Here is a 15,942-nt window from a genome sequence, read left to right as displayed (position 1 = left end):
AATTTATTTTCTCACAGTTCTGGAGGTTAGGCGGCTATGTTCAAGGTTCTAGATGATTCGCTTCCTGGCTTGTAGAAGTCTTTCTTGTCTCCATGGCTTCATATGTCATCATATGGCTTTTTTTTTTTTTTACTATGCGTGTATGGTGGAGAGTGGGGGGAGATACCACTCTCTGATCGTTCCTCTTATAAAGACACTAATCCTGTCAAATCAGAGCCCACCTTTATGACCACATTTAGCCTTAATTTACATCCTTAGAGGTCTCATTTTTAAATACAGCCACACTGGGGGTTAGGCCTTCAACACATGAATTCTGAGGGACAAAACTTTTAGTTCATAACAACTACCTTATGTTCTCAAAATCTAACAAGTCCTTGTAATGACTGTAAACATTTGTGATATTATTAAATGCTATACCACATGAAGGGAGAATGAAGAAAACCGGCTAATCCATTAGTTAATCAAAAGTACTCATTTTGTGTGCACCATGTGCAAATCCCTGTTATAGAACATGTCAGTGTTATTGAGGAATCCATAATAAAATAATTTAATGGGAATTTAAACACAAAAAGTGCCAAATAAGTTGTACTAACAGTTAGCAACTATAGGATAGAACAAAAAGTATTAAATTTGGAGTCAGGAAACATGGGTTCAAAATCCAGCTGCAACACTTACCATCTACGTGACCTTAAGCAAGCTGTTTAACATCTGTAAGCTTCAGCTCTCTCGCCCATAATACAGTTGCAGAATACCTAACTGAGGAATCAAATGAGATAGAATATGTAAATTCACTTTGGAAGTGCTAACACTGCATATATGAAGAGTGTGACCAAGCCCTCATAGGAGACTCCTTTGATAGGATCCTTGATCTCTTCTGTCTTCTCAAATGGAAAAGGCAGCTTTTCTTTGGGGCATTGCCTCCCAATAAGGCAGGCCTTACTGCAATAACCACATTTGTACATACTTAGTTATCATCACCCTCAAAACTTAATATTTTATGCTGGTGCCCCACCAGAAAAAGAAGTGTTCTTGCTTCTTTTTTATATTTGCTGTCTTGCATGGAAGAGAACCAGCATACTTTAATTATGAATCATAAAGAAGTTGTGGTAAAAGTAGAATAAGAAATTCTGTACAAGAAAATGCCATGTGAGTTACTTGAAGCCTCCATGTACTCTTGCCGGAACACTCAAGCATTAAAAATGTTAAGGTTAAGGCTGACATGGCCAAGCGTGATTTAAACATGGAGGCCACCACACAGTGAGCGTTCTTATTAAAGATCCATGAAATATGTCATCATGTGCTATCAGCAAATAGAGAATTGTCTGTCAACGATGAAATATTCTCTTAGGAGTCAGCATCAGGAGAGAAAATTGACCTTGACCAACTGTTAATTATTGCTTCACCTTCCAATCAGTAACTATCAGATCACATTCCTAAATCTTAAATAAGTGTGTGATATTTGCAGAGTTTGTGGCAGCAAATGGAGTCCAGGTGGAGCTGCATAGAAAAACAAGAAAAATGGCTCCTCACCAGAAACAAGAGAGGAGCATGGGAGGACAGATTCAGACACCCCAGGCTCCCAAACCCCCTGTTATGAAGTAGATTGTGTGTGTATGTGTGTGCGCACACCACATAAACACACGTTATTTATTTTTAAACAGTCTTACTTTATACCGAACTGACAATGCTCTTTATTTTCATTATGTGTTGAAGAAAAGAATTAAGGGGTAGAAAGAAAAGAATTGTGAGAGACGTTGCTCTGATTCATTCAAAGCTAGGCTCCAGGATTGGCTTTGTATTTATTTAATATATCAAAAAGCAACAAAACATCACAGCTAAAGAAATAGACACTCAAAACTTAAATTGAAAACGTAATTCTGAAGCATCATGGAATGACAAATATAGCATTTAAAATACATTATCTTCTTTCCGTTCCTTACAAATTCAAAGGTGGCAATGCATATTAAAAAAGATCTGCTTGAGCTACTAGTGAAGTACCACAGTGAAAGCATGCAGGGGCACTCCCAGCTTCAGGAAAAGTAAGTTGCTTGTCCAGTCACTGAGTGGTCAGCACCTGCTTTACAAATCTCTTAAACATCTGGCTCCATGCTCTTCACATAGGAGTTCACACAGGCAGAGACATATTTTTTTTTTCTTCTTAATCATGCACCTTTTAAGATTCATAATTTGGGATGAGCAAAAGGCTCGGCAGGAGGTGGGGATGAATTAAAAACCATAAAATTGATGCTATCACTCTGATTGACATACCAGTAGTGCAGCATACATTTCCTGTTTGTCAGGAATGAAAGGTGTTCACATTCTGTAATAATACCTAATAATGTTTTGGAAAGACAAACTGCTGTCTGACTACATTTTACCAGGATGGATTTTTTTCCTCTTTCTATCAGCACTGAAGTCAGAAGCTAGAGTGTACATTACAACCCTATATAAAGGATGACCTAGATATTTAATAGCTGCAGCTATTCCAGTCCACTACCTGGACCTCCCCAGGTCTCCGATGCTATATTCTAGCATGCCTGAAATCACCATTACACCTTAAGACTAATTCAGGGAAGCATCCAGGGAGCTAGATGTCCAGGAATGCCATAATAAACTTCAAAGAATGAGTATCCTTTGCTCCCTATAGCTGTTTCATCACAGAATTGGCCAACCCTCTACCTCTTAGAGGTCTGTCTGACAATTAACATTTTGTACAGGGTAGTAAAGACAATCTTGTACATAGGGATCAGGAGACCTGACTCCCTCTAGCTGCCATGTCACAGACCATCTAAGCAAGTCAGCCATTTAACCTTCTACACCTCAATGTCGTCACATTTAAAATAGACTCTTCTATTTGCCTTGACTTCTTGAGGGGTTGTTGAAAAATAAAAGCAAAATTACAGCTTTATAACTTGCATGCATCCTATGTCATGTAGATCACAAATATGATTATATATTTGTTAAATAAAGAATTTGGAGAATATTTAAAATCTTCTATTCTGGGGCAATAATTTGGCAAAAGGATGAGGAAGAATCAATGAGGTACTAGATTTTATGTGACAGGGTAACATCAGAAAAAAATCAAATGCAGTTATAGCCATTCAAGAATTATTCTTTTAGCCAAAGATATATCCCTCTTTTAGCCAAAGATATATACATCTTTGGCTAAAGTTTTAGCCAAAGATGTATCCCTCAACTTACTGCCGTGTTATTACTGTTTACATCCCTATGGAGTATCAATTGTAGATACTGACTACTAGCATTTCAAACATTAAAATATTATTTTGGGGAAACAAAGAATAAAGTGAAAAGATTAAATAAATCTGAAAATTTTAGGAGGAAAATAGAATAGGTATGTTTGTATTAAGTGTTTTAATGACACATTTTTGCATTTTCATCTTTTGGATTCTGTTATTCCCACAGAAAATTTCAAGAAAATAAATGCAAGATTAGTGCTACAATCATTGTCTAACAATACCAAGTTTCAAGTGTCAGGCACTACAGCCTGAACAACCCTTTGTCTCTGGAATTATCAACACAGACTTAGATGATTTGGGAAGCCTATGGAAAACTGACCCAAATGAAAAAAGGGGAAATGTTTTGTAGACCCTGCTTTTGTAATAATACTATTGCAAAGGGATCAAAGTGCTTTTGAATACAATTTATTACTGTTGTTTTTTACTAAATCCAATAAAGGTTTAGGCAAAAACAGGTTTCAAGCCTTCTGCTTATGATTGCACTTCGTGAGACTTGACAATGCTTATCTCTGTGTAATTTTTAAAATCCATGTTTGGTAAAAAGAAAAGACATTTCTCCCAATTCTCCAAAGTTACTTCTAATGAAATCTGCTCTTTGATATCCATGCTTACAGATACAGTGCAAGGGAAGTTCAGCAAAGTCACTCCACTACACCCAACTGGTCCTTGCTAAAACTTGCAGAAATTGTAAGGAAACTTACTCAGGATTTGAGGCCATTTAAATCATGGCCTGACTTGATTTTATATTCACTAGAAGTGAAGCTAAAAACAGAATGTATGGATCATGTCCTCATAACCTTCAAGTGGCAACCCATAGACTGCTGTCTGTTTCTTGAGTTAGATTGACAAGAACTGGAAAGAAAGCATTAGCAAAACGGATCTTGAATGCTATCAGCTGAAATCTACCTAAATCCCCCAGCAAAATATAACTGAAAAAAATAAGAGGTTCACCTCTTAGTTCTAGTCATTGAGAACTTGAAGGTTAGGTTAAGCATATCCATCCCTCTATTTGCTAAATTACCCAAATGTGGCTATAAAAAATAACATTAAGTATTCAGGCCAGAGGTATTTATCAGAAGGATATGATTTACATGGCTATGTACCTCATGGAAACCTCACAGAAAAATATAGGTACAAATATGCATAAATCATATTTATATACTTTCTATAAAATTAGACTGGCATTAATTAAATGGCAGAAAAGGCAATGAGAGCATTGTTTGGAGGGTAGCTTGTTCCAAGTTCTGATTATAACTTGCTTCCCAAAGAAGGAGCCGCCTACAGCTTAGAAGACAGATGAGAAGATCATCATCGCAGATTTGCTGTGAACAGCTCTGCTCAGCTCTGTCCCTGCCAGACTCGGGGCCACACACAGCCTTCCAAGATGGCTAAAGAAGATTCTCAGAGAGATCACTCTCTTCTTGCCTCAGATTTGGCAAGGGCAGAGTGTGGTCTTATCTTCGGAAAACTTGAAACCTCTCTGTAGAGCTGGGAACTGCTCTCAATAGCAAAGTTGTCACCATCCTCATCACCACACCTACAATGTACTGAGCACTCACTATGTGCTAGGCACAAAATGCTTTGCATTATCTCATCCTATCTTCACAATTATCCCATGAAGCAAATACTATAATTGCCCACATTTCATGAAAGAAGAAACCGACACCAAAACTTGCCCATTGTTACAGAGATGGTGACAGTTGGCACCTGAATTCAAAACAACCACACTCTTCTAGAATCTTAACTTATAACCATCAGAGTAGCTTAATCAGCTGCAAACAGCCCATGGATTTGACTTTTTAAAACTCCACTTCCACTTATAAAGCTCGTCCCATTTATTTATTAATTATATAATACACAAATACATATATTTATCCCCTACAGAGTGCAAGGAACTGGGTTAAGCACTGGGAAGTAAGCAATGAACAAGACATATTCTCTATCCATGTAAAGCATACATTCTATCATATATTCCACATAACATAGCCTCATTTTTTTTTCTCACTAATCTTATGTTCTTTTCTGCTCCTATTACCTGACAATTTCCAGGATGGCTTTCAGTAGGTGGGCAAAATGTTGGCACTACCACAATTCTGCTGAAGTTAGGAAATAACAACTTGGCCCCTCCCTCCTAATTTCTGCCTCTCTTTTCAATTTCTCAGTCTTCATGTCTATTATCATTCAGGTACCCCCTGTCTTCTGGTTGTCCATAGTCACCCACTACTATATCCCTCTTCCTCACCCATGCCAACCCAGACCTGCCCTCAACTCTACTGTCTCATGTATCTGTACTTTTGTCCTTCATTCCTTCCACATCCAAGCCTCAGGGTTAATCTTAGCTCCCATTCTTCTCCTTAGAGAGCAGCCCTGACATGTTGTGGGAAATGACCACAGAAAAACTCTTACATGTTACACCAGGAAATATCTGTTTCTGATAAGTCACAAATTTTATTTTCTCAGAATTTCTTTAGTGGGTTTTCCCTTAGAATCACTCTCTCATGTGGTAGTTATATTCGATAGAACTTATTGCAGGTACATATGGACTAAATATGTTCCTAGGGGCTGGTGAGTGATGTTAAACAGTGGATAATATGCTTTGAATTCCAACCAACCAAACTACAAGTGACCTTCTGGCAAAGTCATCCTCAGTAACATATTCCTGTCTTCACTATTACTAACAATAAACAGTGAAAAGGAGTAAAAAATAAGTTAAAAATGTATTAGTCTTTAGCATTAGAGTGATAGGAATACATAGTAATAAATGCAATATAGAAAAAGAAATAATTTAAACTTAGGGATGGCAGTGGTGAAAGATGCCCATATTTGACAACTTCTACATTTGACAAAAGACAAATGTTTCTAGCATGAGGGATTCTCAGGTCAGCAGAGAAACCCTGAATGTAAACGACATTCAAGAACCTCCCCTAATTGTTCCATGAGCTTATAAGACTCATGAAGGTAAAGAACACATCTGATTTTTCTTGACATTATAACAGCATCACTTAGCACATGGCCTGAGACCTAGTCAGCACTTAATAAATGATTACTGAATGAAAATACGTCATGCTATACTTATCTCCAGCCACCCCTGAATCAGCAGAGCCCTCTGTTGACCAGAAATCCTTACACAAGACTGGATTTTCACATTTATACTTTTCCCTCAGGGAGCAATCTCTGCCTATATTGCCTTTTTTTTTTCCTTCTAGAACTGTTGAAATGAATCTTTAAGGCCAACTTCAAAAATTGTATCTGTTATGACTCCGCTGGAATGGGACCTGTGAGTGAGATACTGGTGCCTATGGCATCTCAGGGTAAGTAGGTGGATGTCTGTCTCTCCCTTGGGCTGACAGAGTCCTGGGCTTTGTTTAGGGATTGGGAAAGTGTTTCTTGCCTACCCTAGATCCAGGAACTGAGCATGGCCCAGCCCAGAGGTTGTGATCCCTTGGGGGTTATCTTTGCACCAAAAATAGGGACAGCAGCCAGTGGGAAGGGGAGATTGACTTCTGCGCAGTGCCAGGACCCATCCTATTTTGCATTGCAGCCCTAAAAATTATGTAGCTGGTCTTGGACCTAAAGAAGAAACCATTGTGTTGCCCCTTGAGCATACATTTCAATCCCTCTCTTAGTTGTAGAGGAACTCTCTAAAGGCAAAGGGTCCATCACTCATCATATCAGCCTCTGGTTTTGCACAGCACTCTCCTCTCAGGAGACGTTGCATAAAAGTGTGTTGAACCGACTTGATAAAGAGAAACATCATTTTATTTTACCCAAAAACGTAGATAATCCCATATTCAAATTTACCTGGATGGATCAGAAAATGGACTAAATAACACAAATTCTTGTTTGTTTTTCTCTGAGACTATCATTCATCTTATTCAAGAGGAAAATTTTACAAATTGACCACACTGCTCATAAATGCTTTTTTTCATATTAATAGAAAACCTTTGGAATCTAAGCTTGTAAGCTCATTCTGGAATATTGTCTTCTACAAAGAATTGAGTACTGTTCAAATATAATTGTGATTAAATTATTCACTCATCATCTTCCAACTACTTAATATGTGCAAGGTATAATAGTGGGTACTGTTAAGAGCTGATCTCTCCGTTTAGTCTTCAACTTGGCCCAGACCCAAACCACTGCAGACAGTTGCCCACCTGAAGGGGGAAATGGGAGCTGAAGTCCAGCGTTCACTCTGTTTGCCAAGCCATATACTCTGGCATGAGGTTGGCTGTGTCCACCCAGGGGAAGTGGTACTTTTTTTTCTAATTCTAACAAAGTCCCTTATGGGCTAAAGGCTGTCTTGGCCCTGCTCCTCCTTCCACACACACCTCCTAAACTGCACTTGGCCCATCTGTGATTTCTTTTCCCTTTCCAGAGTCACTGCTGTTCTGTTGAACATCCTTTCTGTTGCATGAAAATGCCAAAGTAGAGGAAAAAGAGCGCACCATGTGATTTCCCCAGGGCCAACATTTCCCCAGGGATGGTTCTGACTGAGGGGACACAAAAACAAGCAGTTTAACACCAACAGATATCCTGTCCAAATTCTCTTTTTATAGCACAATGTAGCTGTATTAAATACATAACAAGTAAAGTGAGAATTGAATGTGAATTATGAAGCAGAATTATAGTCATGATATGTGAGCTAAACATGAAAAGAATCAGAACTTCTTATTATATTTTATTGGCAACAGTTTTGCCAAATAGGTAGTTACTCTTGAAAGATGGCATCTCCTTGAAATTAACTCTCAACTTCTAGCAAACATTTAGATGTCCCCACACTCCTTAGTCAACTAAGAGTGATTATTTTTTATTGCTACAAGCCATATATGTTTGTTTTGGAGAACATGACATTAATCATGATTAAATTGTGTAGGCTGAAAAATACCTATTACCTGCAAGAAAAAACAAAATGCAACACAGCTGTAAAAATATTTGCCAATCTGTAAAAATTTGTGTGGATTTTCCAGCAAACTAGCAATGAAAATTCTGAAATTTATATCTAGTCTTATGAGAATCTTCAAAGGTTTCTCTAAAAGTGAAGAAGAGGTCAATTGGTTTACTATTTCAAATAGATATTGCCTTACCAGCATACAAATCATACCGACATTGTCTATTTGAGCTGCTTAATTGTGACAACTCTGAGGCATTACTGGGTAAAGCAAATCATTCTGCTCCTATTACCTCTCTGATCTGCCCTCAAATGGGATTATACCTATGTTTCCAAGGCAGAGAAAGCACCTCGGGTGAATCCTATCAGCCCCTGCTATGGACTGAATTGTTCCCCCCTCATCCCACATTCATATGTTGAAGCCCTAACTCGCCATGTGACTATATTTGGAGACAGGGCCTTTAAGGAGATGATTAAGGTTGAATAAGGTCATACAAGTAGGTCCCTGATCCCACAGGACTGGTGCCCTTATGAGAAGATAAAGAGACACCACAGCCTGCTGTCTGCCATGTGAGAACACAGTGAGAAGGTGGCCATTTGCAAGCCAGGAAAAGATCCCTCACCAGAACCTGACCAGGCTGGCACCCTGACCTCAGACTTCTATTCTCCAGAACTGTGAGAAAATAAATTTCCATCATTTAAACCACCCAGCCTACAGTATTTTGTTATGGCAGCCAAAGAATACAGGCCCTTAAGCAAACTAACTAAAATAGTATCTATTATTAACATTTTGGTAAATATGTATAAAGAAGTAAGAAATGTTTTATAAGAATTTTTTAATTTTTATAATTTTATGACTGTGAATAAAAGCATCTTTAAAAATTAACTCATTTTTATTGATCTGTAATAAACATTCTAAGAAAACTGGTGTTCATGCTATGCAACCCTAACTTCAAAAGACTTACTCTTGCCTCCTGCCAATAAGATTATTCCTCTGAAATTTCTCCTAATAACAGAAAATCCCAGAACTACCACTCTTCAAGTTCCAACATAAATGCTGCTGCTTCTCTTAAACTTTTCATATTCCCTGCTCTAGTCTCCCTCTTCTGCACTACCACAGTACTTAATTTAAATATGTCATTTATCATATTTCACCTTGTAATCTCCTTGACTTTTGCATATGCCTGCTCCTCCGCTAGAGGACACAGATCTTGAGAGCAAGGGTCATGTTATCCATTTTAGATTTCTCTAATGTCCACTGTGATGTTTTGTCAGTAGTGAGTATATATTGGCAGATGTGTGAAAGAATGAATGAATTGTTGAATGAATGGATGGATAAATGAAGAAACTGATTATTTATTTATTTATTTATTTATTTACCATTTTGTCTCATGTATCTTCCATAGCATCTGGGAGAATTGCCTTTCCACCATCATGCTTCCCCTTGATGGCGCATTTATGAAAGAAAAGTGTTAATAAAAAGAAAAATGGAGAAACCTTTAGTTGCAATGCCTCTGATTTTTTAGGCACAGTACTAGTATAAATTATTTAATTCTTACTACTTTGCATTTCACGTTCCCCATTTTACTGACAAGAAAACTGAGGCTCTGTGAGGTTAAAAATACATCCATACCCATGCAGTTGCCAAAAAAAGAAAAGCTACAATGTAAGCATGATGCTAAAATCCAAGCCATATCTTGTCTTTCCTTCTCAATGGCCTTCTCTTAACTTTTTCCTCAGCCTTCTGAAGAAAGGTGAAAAGGATGTGTAGATATTTTCTGAGGCCATTTAACATGACCCTCTTCCTGCATCGGACTTGGAGGAGGAGGTGTTCTCTATTTCCCCATGATTTTCACTTCCTTGCCACTGCAAGAAAATATCAATCTCAGTTTCCTCTGTAACCTCAGGAGAGGTACCCTGAGCTCCCCTTAATTATAGTACGAACTGAACCAAACCTTTGATGCCTCTGAAGGTCTCATATCTCAGAGGGCTCCAGGGGTGCAAACGAGTCAACTTCCTCCCAATCTAATGTTCCTGATGCCGCTCCCTGAAGTATAAAATTTGAAGACAGAACAATAACTTGAGATTCAGGCAAATTTTAATTATATTTCAGGTCTGCCACTTATTAACTATGTATACTTTAATCTGTCTCAGTTTCCACATTAAATAATGTTTATGAATTCAGATATATCTGAATATATAGAAAAGGCTGGGAAGACAGATCCACTGAGGGTTAATTTACATTGGGTATGGAAAATCTCCTTCGTGAATATGGCAGAGGCTGGCTAAATATTCACCAATCACACTTTTTCTTCCTGAGCACTTAGGAAAACTACATTTCCCAGCATCCTTTGCAGTTAAGGTTAGGCCCTGTCTTGGGAGTAATGTTCACCACATCCAGTCATGGCCACAAAATGTGTCATGTGATCTTCCTCATTCTTTGTTAGCCAGCCAGCTAAATACAGATGATACAGCAGAAAACTCTGCAGAGGCCCTAGAAAATAATTCCACTACAAGATGGAAGAATTGGGATTCCAGAATCACGGAATGGAAAGCTGCCAGAAGAAAAACCTGTAGTGGGTGAAGTCACTAAGATTTTAAGGTTGTTTTGTTATAGCGCCTGGCACTAATTACCCTGACTAATATAATTTCTCAGGAGTCAGAGAATCTAAGTCTAGGGTAAAAATGATGGGTGGTCCAAAGCCAAAAACTATGATTTGTTCTTCCGCAACTAATGAGCATTGCTCAGAGTATTTTCTGGACTGCTTTCTTCCCTTCCCCATCACCACTCTCCCACACCCGGCTGGTACTAATGCCACAACTAGCAGAGGCCAACCTATCCTAAAGACCCTTCTCATTAGTCTCCACAGCACGCTCACAATACAAAGCAGTACTGCTTTGTGGTCTGCATAACAGAAGAGAAGGTGGAGAATATTTCCCCACTTTAACAAGAAATGGTTGGAGAGCAGAACAGAGGAGCAGTAACATGTCAGAAGCAAAGACTGTCAGACTAGTTACCTAGGATGCAGGCAGCCCAGTCAGATGTGAGGAGACCAGAGCAAACTAAAATCTCTAGAGGGTTCAGCCTTCCCAGACACCCCCACAGTTAGTTGGGCAGAATTACGCTAAAAGAGGTCAGGTTTTAGTACCCATTTTCTTCCCTTCCGTATTTCCCTTTTATGTTGAACTTCCCTCATTAAAAGAATCCTGACTTTTCAACTAATGCTTTTGAGTAGCACAATGATATTGCACCTCCCTATAAAGGAGAATACTGGAATTACACGTTGAGTGAGGGACATGCTGAGAGTTGCTGTCCATCCTCCAGTGAACTGTGTGATAATCCTGTTAACCTTCCTATCAGGAGGTCATTAAACAATTTTGAAAGCTGTTTCCTCTCACATCATAACTGCATGCAAAATTTGATCTAGTCTTTTTAATATAAGCTGTTTGACTGCACAGACTTAAATAACAGCCCTTCACCTGTTTTATATGATCTCTTCTTATACTCTCCTCAGTTCAGTTACTGAGTGCCTTTGTAGCCCTTCTCTCAGTTTAGGTATTGTCATCTGTTTTGTCTTTGTTCTCGATTTCAACATTTAATGCATTTTCTTTCAACAGTATAGCATGCCTTCTCTAGTTCCTTTTGATACCTTGTTCATCACTTGTGCCAACCCATTTTTCACTCATGTCACCATGTCACTTTCCTGTGTGTTAGTCTGTTTGAATTTGTTGTAATTGGTGTTTTGTTCTTATTGCTGCTGAGCTATTTCATGAAACTGCCTATTTCTGTTAAACCCAATTTATTTTTGCATTTCACTCAATCTTTTTTTTATTCCAAATACACTTTACCACGCAGTATTTTTCCTTTCTTCCTCCTTTCCCTCCTTCTTTCCTCCCTCTCTTCCTTCTTTCCTTTCTTCCTTTCCTTCCTTCCTTTCTTCCTTTTCTTTTTCTTAAATAAATATGCTAACAGCTAAGTGATGTCAGAACTCCTGCCTGAATACATTTACAACAAACACGTTTTCCATTTTTATCTTCTGATCATTTAGTTCTTTCATTCAGCTTGAAAACTCGATTTCCTTTCAGCTCCCTAGAAACATAATTTTTACCTCCAGGACAGAGAGAACTTACATTTTTAACCACACTTGAAAAATTGGGTAAAATTGAAATGTACTTCTGGTGGCTTAACTAACACAAAATGGATTCCTAATCTCTGGGGGAAGACTCCATAATAAGACCCTATCATTGAATTAGGAATTCAAGCATTAAGAAAGTCAGTTTTCAGGAGTGTCAGGTTTGGGACTTGACATTTTTAAGAAATGTCTTTGCAAAACAGGGGACTAGTTATCATTGGATGAAGGACACTGATTTAATCTCCAGGGGTGGCTGAACTCGATGTCTGGGGTTCTTCCAAACATTTAAAGTCATTTTCCAAATGTTTTTGATGCAGCACAACCCAAAAAGGATTTTGGCAAGTGTGTTTTCCCTTCATTTTAAAACCCATGCGTATTTCAAGGGAAATGCAATCCATATGTCTTTGATTCATTTACACTTAAATCATCTAAATGCCATTGTGTAAGAGCTATTTGATGTACAAGAAGCCTGTGAGCCTGTTTTATAAGCCTTTTTAAGCCTTATTTCTTTGAATCAGAAAGTCATGTTTTGCCGGCCCTAAACAGAACTTGAACTGGGAAAGGCTCAAGTTCACTTCTAAACTGAAAACCCGCAAAGTTTTGCGTGGCTTCTGTACTTAGCAATATGTTTCCCCTTGCCTAAAGCTCACAAACACCCAGCATTTCTCTTCTCTGTCTCACATGTAGTGAGAACAGGGTAAATCAATTTTTGAATCACATTTTACTTGTAAAATTCACATTTTGAACCTCAGTTATCTCCCAGGCACTGCCAGAAGTTAAAATAGCAACACTTGAAAATTAGGCTTTTGCTCTAAAAGGGCAAAACAGTCTATAAAGTACATAAATTACTGCTTCTGTACATTTATTTGTTTGACAGGTTTAAGATATAAGTGTGGCTTACATATGGATTTTCAGGATGCCAGATTGGATGCTCCACGAGCTACAGTCACAAATGTAACCTCTTTTTTTAAGACTTATGTTTGGGAGAATAGAATTGGAACAATCTTGCTGTTCTGCACAAATCTAATTGCTGTGTCAAAACAGCAGTGGAATATGATGAACATTTGCATTTTTCTCATTTACTGGCCTTTTCTTTGGCTTTAACCACACTTACAATAGTGGTCAAGGAGAAAGTATCTTAGGCTATTTGCTCTCTTTCTCCCTGAGACTTAAAAGTATTTCAATGAATTATGAACTAATACTTTTGAGAGGCAAAATGTGAACCTTCGATCAAGTGTTTGGACATACCCAAATGATTAACACTGATTTATATGGACATAGAAACATGTCTCGAGAATGGCTAAATCTTTCTCAAGCAAAAGCACTAATTATCTTTAAATGTGTGATTTCTTTGTTTTTATTTAGACACATCTTAGAAGTTGCATTTTATTGAGAAGGAAGAAATGGTGATGGTGTGATTGTCTGCAGAGAGGCAGTATTTTAAATTTGCATTTAAAACTTAGGGGGTGGAGATGAAGTTAAAAAGAAACAAAGAAATCCAGGTGAATTTAATTATTCCTTATGTGCTCTCTCCAGTTCACATATATGATAGACTATCATATTTGTGTAATCAAAAAGACTATGAAATTCAAGTTTGGAAAAAAAAGGATTTAGGCACTAAATCTAGAAAAATGTTAATTATGCTGAGATAATTAGATAGCAGAAAGTGTTGGATTTGTTCCTTCCCATGGTTAGTTTTCATTAACTACCAAGTCTTCATGATTCTCTGCAGGCAGAATTATTAGTATTCTATTCTTAGGAAGAATGGTGCATGACTGACAAAGAATTAACTTTCAAAAAGTGTGACAGAATACTTTACATTGACCCATGCATATATTTTCTTTAAAAAATGCTTTTTCTCCTATTAAAATTTTGATCTAAAACAGTTTTAAATTTTAAATTAAATTCTCAAAATACATCAGTTTAGGAAAGTTCACAACCACATTTTCTCAATTTAATTTAAAATACAAAGCAAAGAGCTTGATTTATGATTTTGCTGCTGTTTTACCAAAGTGAACCAGAGGGTATTGATTAGGATCGTACAATAACTTAATAACTCCAATTTTGGTTAAAACGACTAGTGTTATATTATATAATTTTATGCCAAGATTTATGAGATTTAATTTAAATTCGGGTGGCCCTTTAAAAACTTTAAAAAATGAAGCTGGGAAATACTTCCTGACCCTGCACTGCTGCTCTCCATCTTGTTCCTTCTTGCCATAGCTTAATTCACCTCCACCTGGTAAACACAAAAGCTTTGTCTGCTCATCTGTCATCTCAAAATGACTTGTTGACTATCTTGAGAATACATATGATTTAAAGCCTATTTGCCCCACCTATTGGGTCAGATTGTCTCGCTGTCCTCTATTTGCAATAGAAGTTTCAAACTCAAAAGAAACACAGCCAATACAGATTGTAAAATAACTGGAACCCTTGCAGTATAAGAGGACATTAATCAGGCTGTGAGTCTCATGAGAGTGAATTCCAGCCCTGAGAATTCTAGCTCTTCCTTCTTATCTTAAATGCATCTGAAAATATCTTTATAATGCCCCCTTGACACACATATTTACCCACCACAAATGCACACTCACTCACACATTTTCATGAACACAATACAAACACACCTACAGGTACACATACATGCAAACATATACACAAACTTCAACCTAAATTCCTTAGAAAAACCTAATTTTATAGATTCTATTTCTAAATACAATTCTGAGTCCCAGACATACTCAACTACACATGTTGAAAGTTTGGAGGAGAAGGAAATCCTTTCAAAGAGAACCACAATAGTTAAACAAACATTTGTACAAAGGGTCAAATTGGTTATTTGATCTAAATCCATATATGAATGCACTTTTCCTATCACTGCATTAGCACTTGATTTCCATGTATTATTTTAAAACTTTCATATGTGACTTGATTTGAACAACTACAATACATAAGTTCTGTTTTACAAAAGGATACCCTTTAGGACTCCCCAAATTATACAGTTTTCTCTAGGGCATATACAAGTCTAAACAGATTGTTCGTAAAATGTAATATATTGAAACACATAAATTTACTTGAAAAAATTAGAAACATATCAATTTAGCTAAAGGATATAGTGTTAATTGCAATCTTTTCCCCCATGATTATCTTTCATTTCTCTAAGAAGAGTTAACATATCCTTGTTTTTGTCATTATATTTCCTTAGTTATATTAATTTGGTACTCATAGTCTATTACATCTAGTAAAGAAGAAGGCCCTGTAGATTTCTACTTATGTTTTACAACTAATGGTCTCAGCTGGTTCTAGCATCAGGATAACTGGGCCCTAAAGTTTGGATGTTTAAGGTCAATTACATTCATGCCACCCAAGCTTATAATTGACTACCATCACCCAGGTAAAAATTTATGGAATATGTAAAGTAGGGAAGTTCTAAATGGCTAAACATAGTCTTCTTTGAGCTATATTTAAATCACTTAGGTGTGTAGGAATTTGAATTTCGTGCTAGCAGTCTTTGGGCTAGTGGTCCTCTCCAGCTGTAAATAAGGGAACAGTATGAGATACGCAGAACCCATCTTTGGCCGCTTATGTAACATCTACCCTGTTCTCTTGTCTCCTTCTTGATCCTCTCCTTTTTGAACTAATCTCAGGACATAAACATTACATCCTTAGT

At 37.4% G+C, this 15,942-nt stretch overlaps 1 long non-coding RNA gene across 6 annotated transcripts in view, besides 1 other annotated feature; it reads right to left on the bottom strand.

Annotated features, from left to right (window-relative positions):
- Positions 1–15,942, bottom strand: part of MEF2C-AS1 (MEF2C antisense RNA 1) — a 584,252-nt gene that overhangs the window by 200,772 nt on the left and 367,538 nt on the right. The gene's annotated exons all lie outside the window — the stretch shown is intronic.
- Positions 12,127–14,227: an enhancer, noted in NCBI's record as "VISTA enhancer hs503". NCBI's record gives its function as "enhancer in: heart[8/8]" and the evidence as "EXISTENCE:transgenic organism evidence [ECO:0001131][PMID:17130149]".

This window comes from Homo sapiens, chromosome 5 (assembly GCF_000001405.40).
Source record: "Homo sapiens chromosome 5, GRCh38.p14 Primary Assembly".
Classification (NCBI taxonomy): domain Eukaryota; kingdom Metazoa; phylum Chordata; class Mammalia; order Primates; family Hominidae; genus Homo; species Homo sapiens.
Note: the sequence above shows the minus strand (reverse complement) of the source record. Positions and strands in the feature narration are given on the sequence as shown.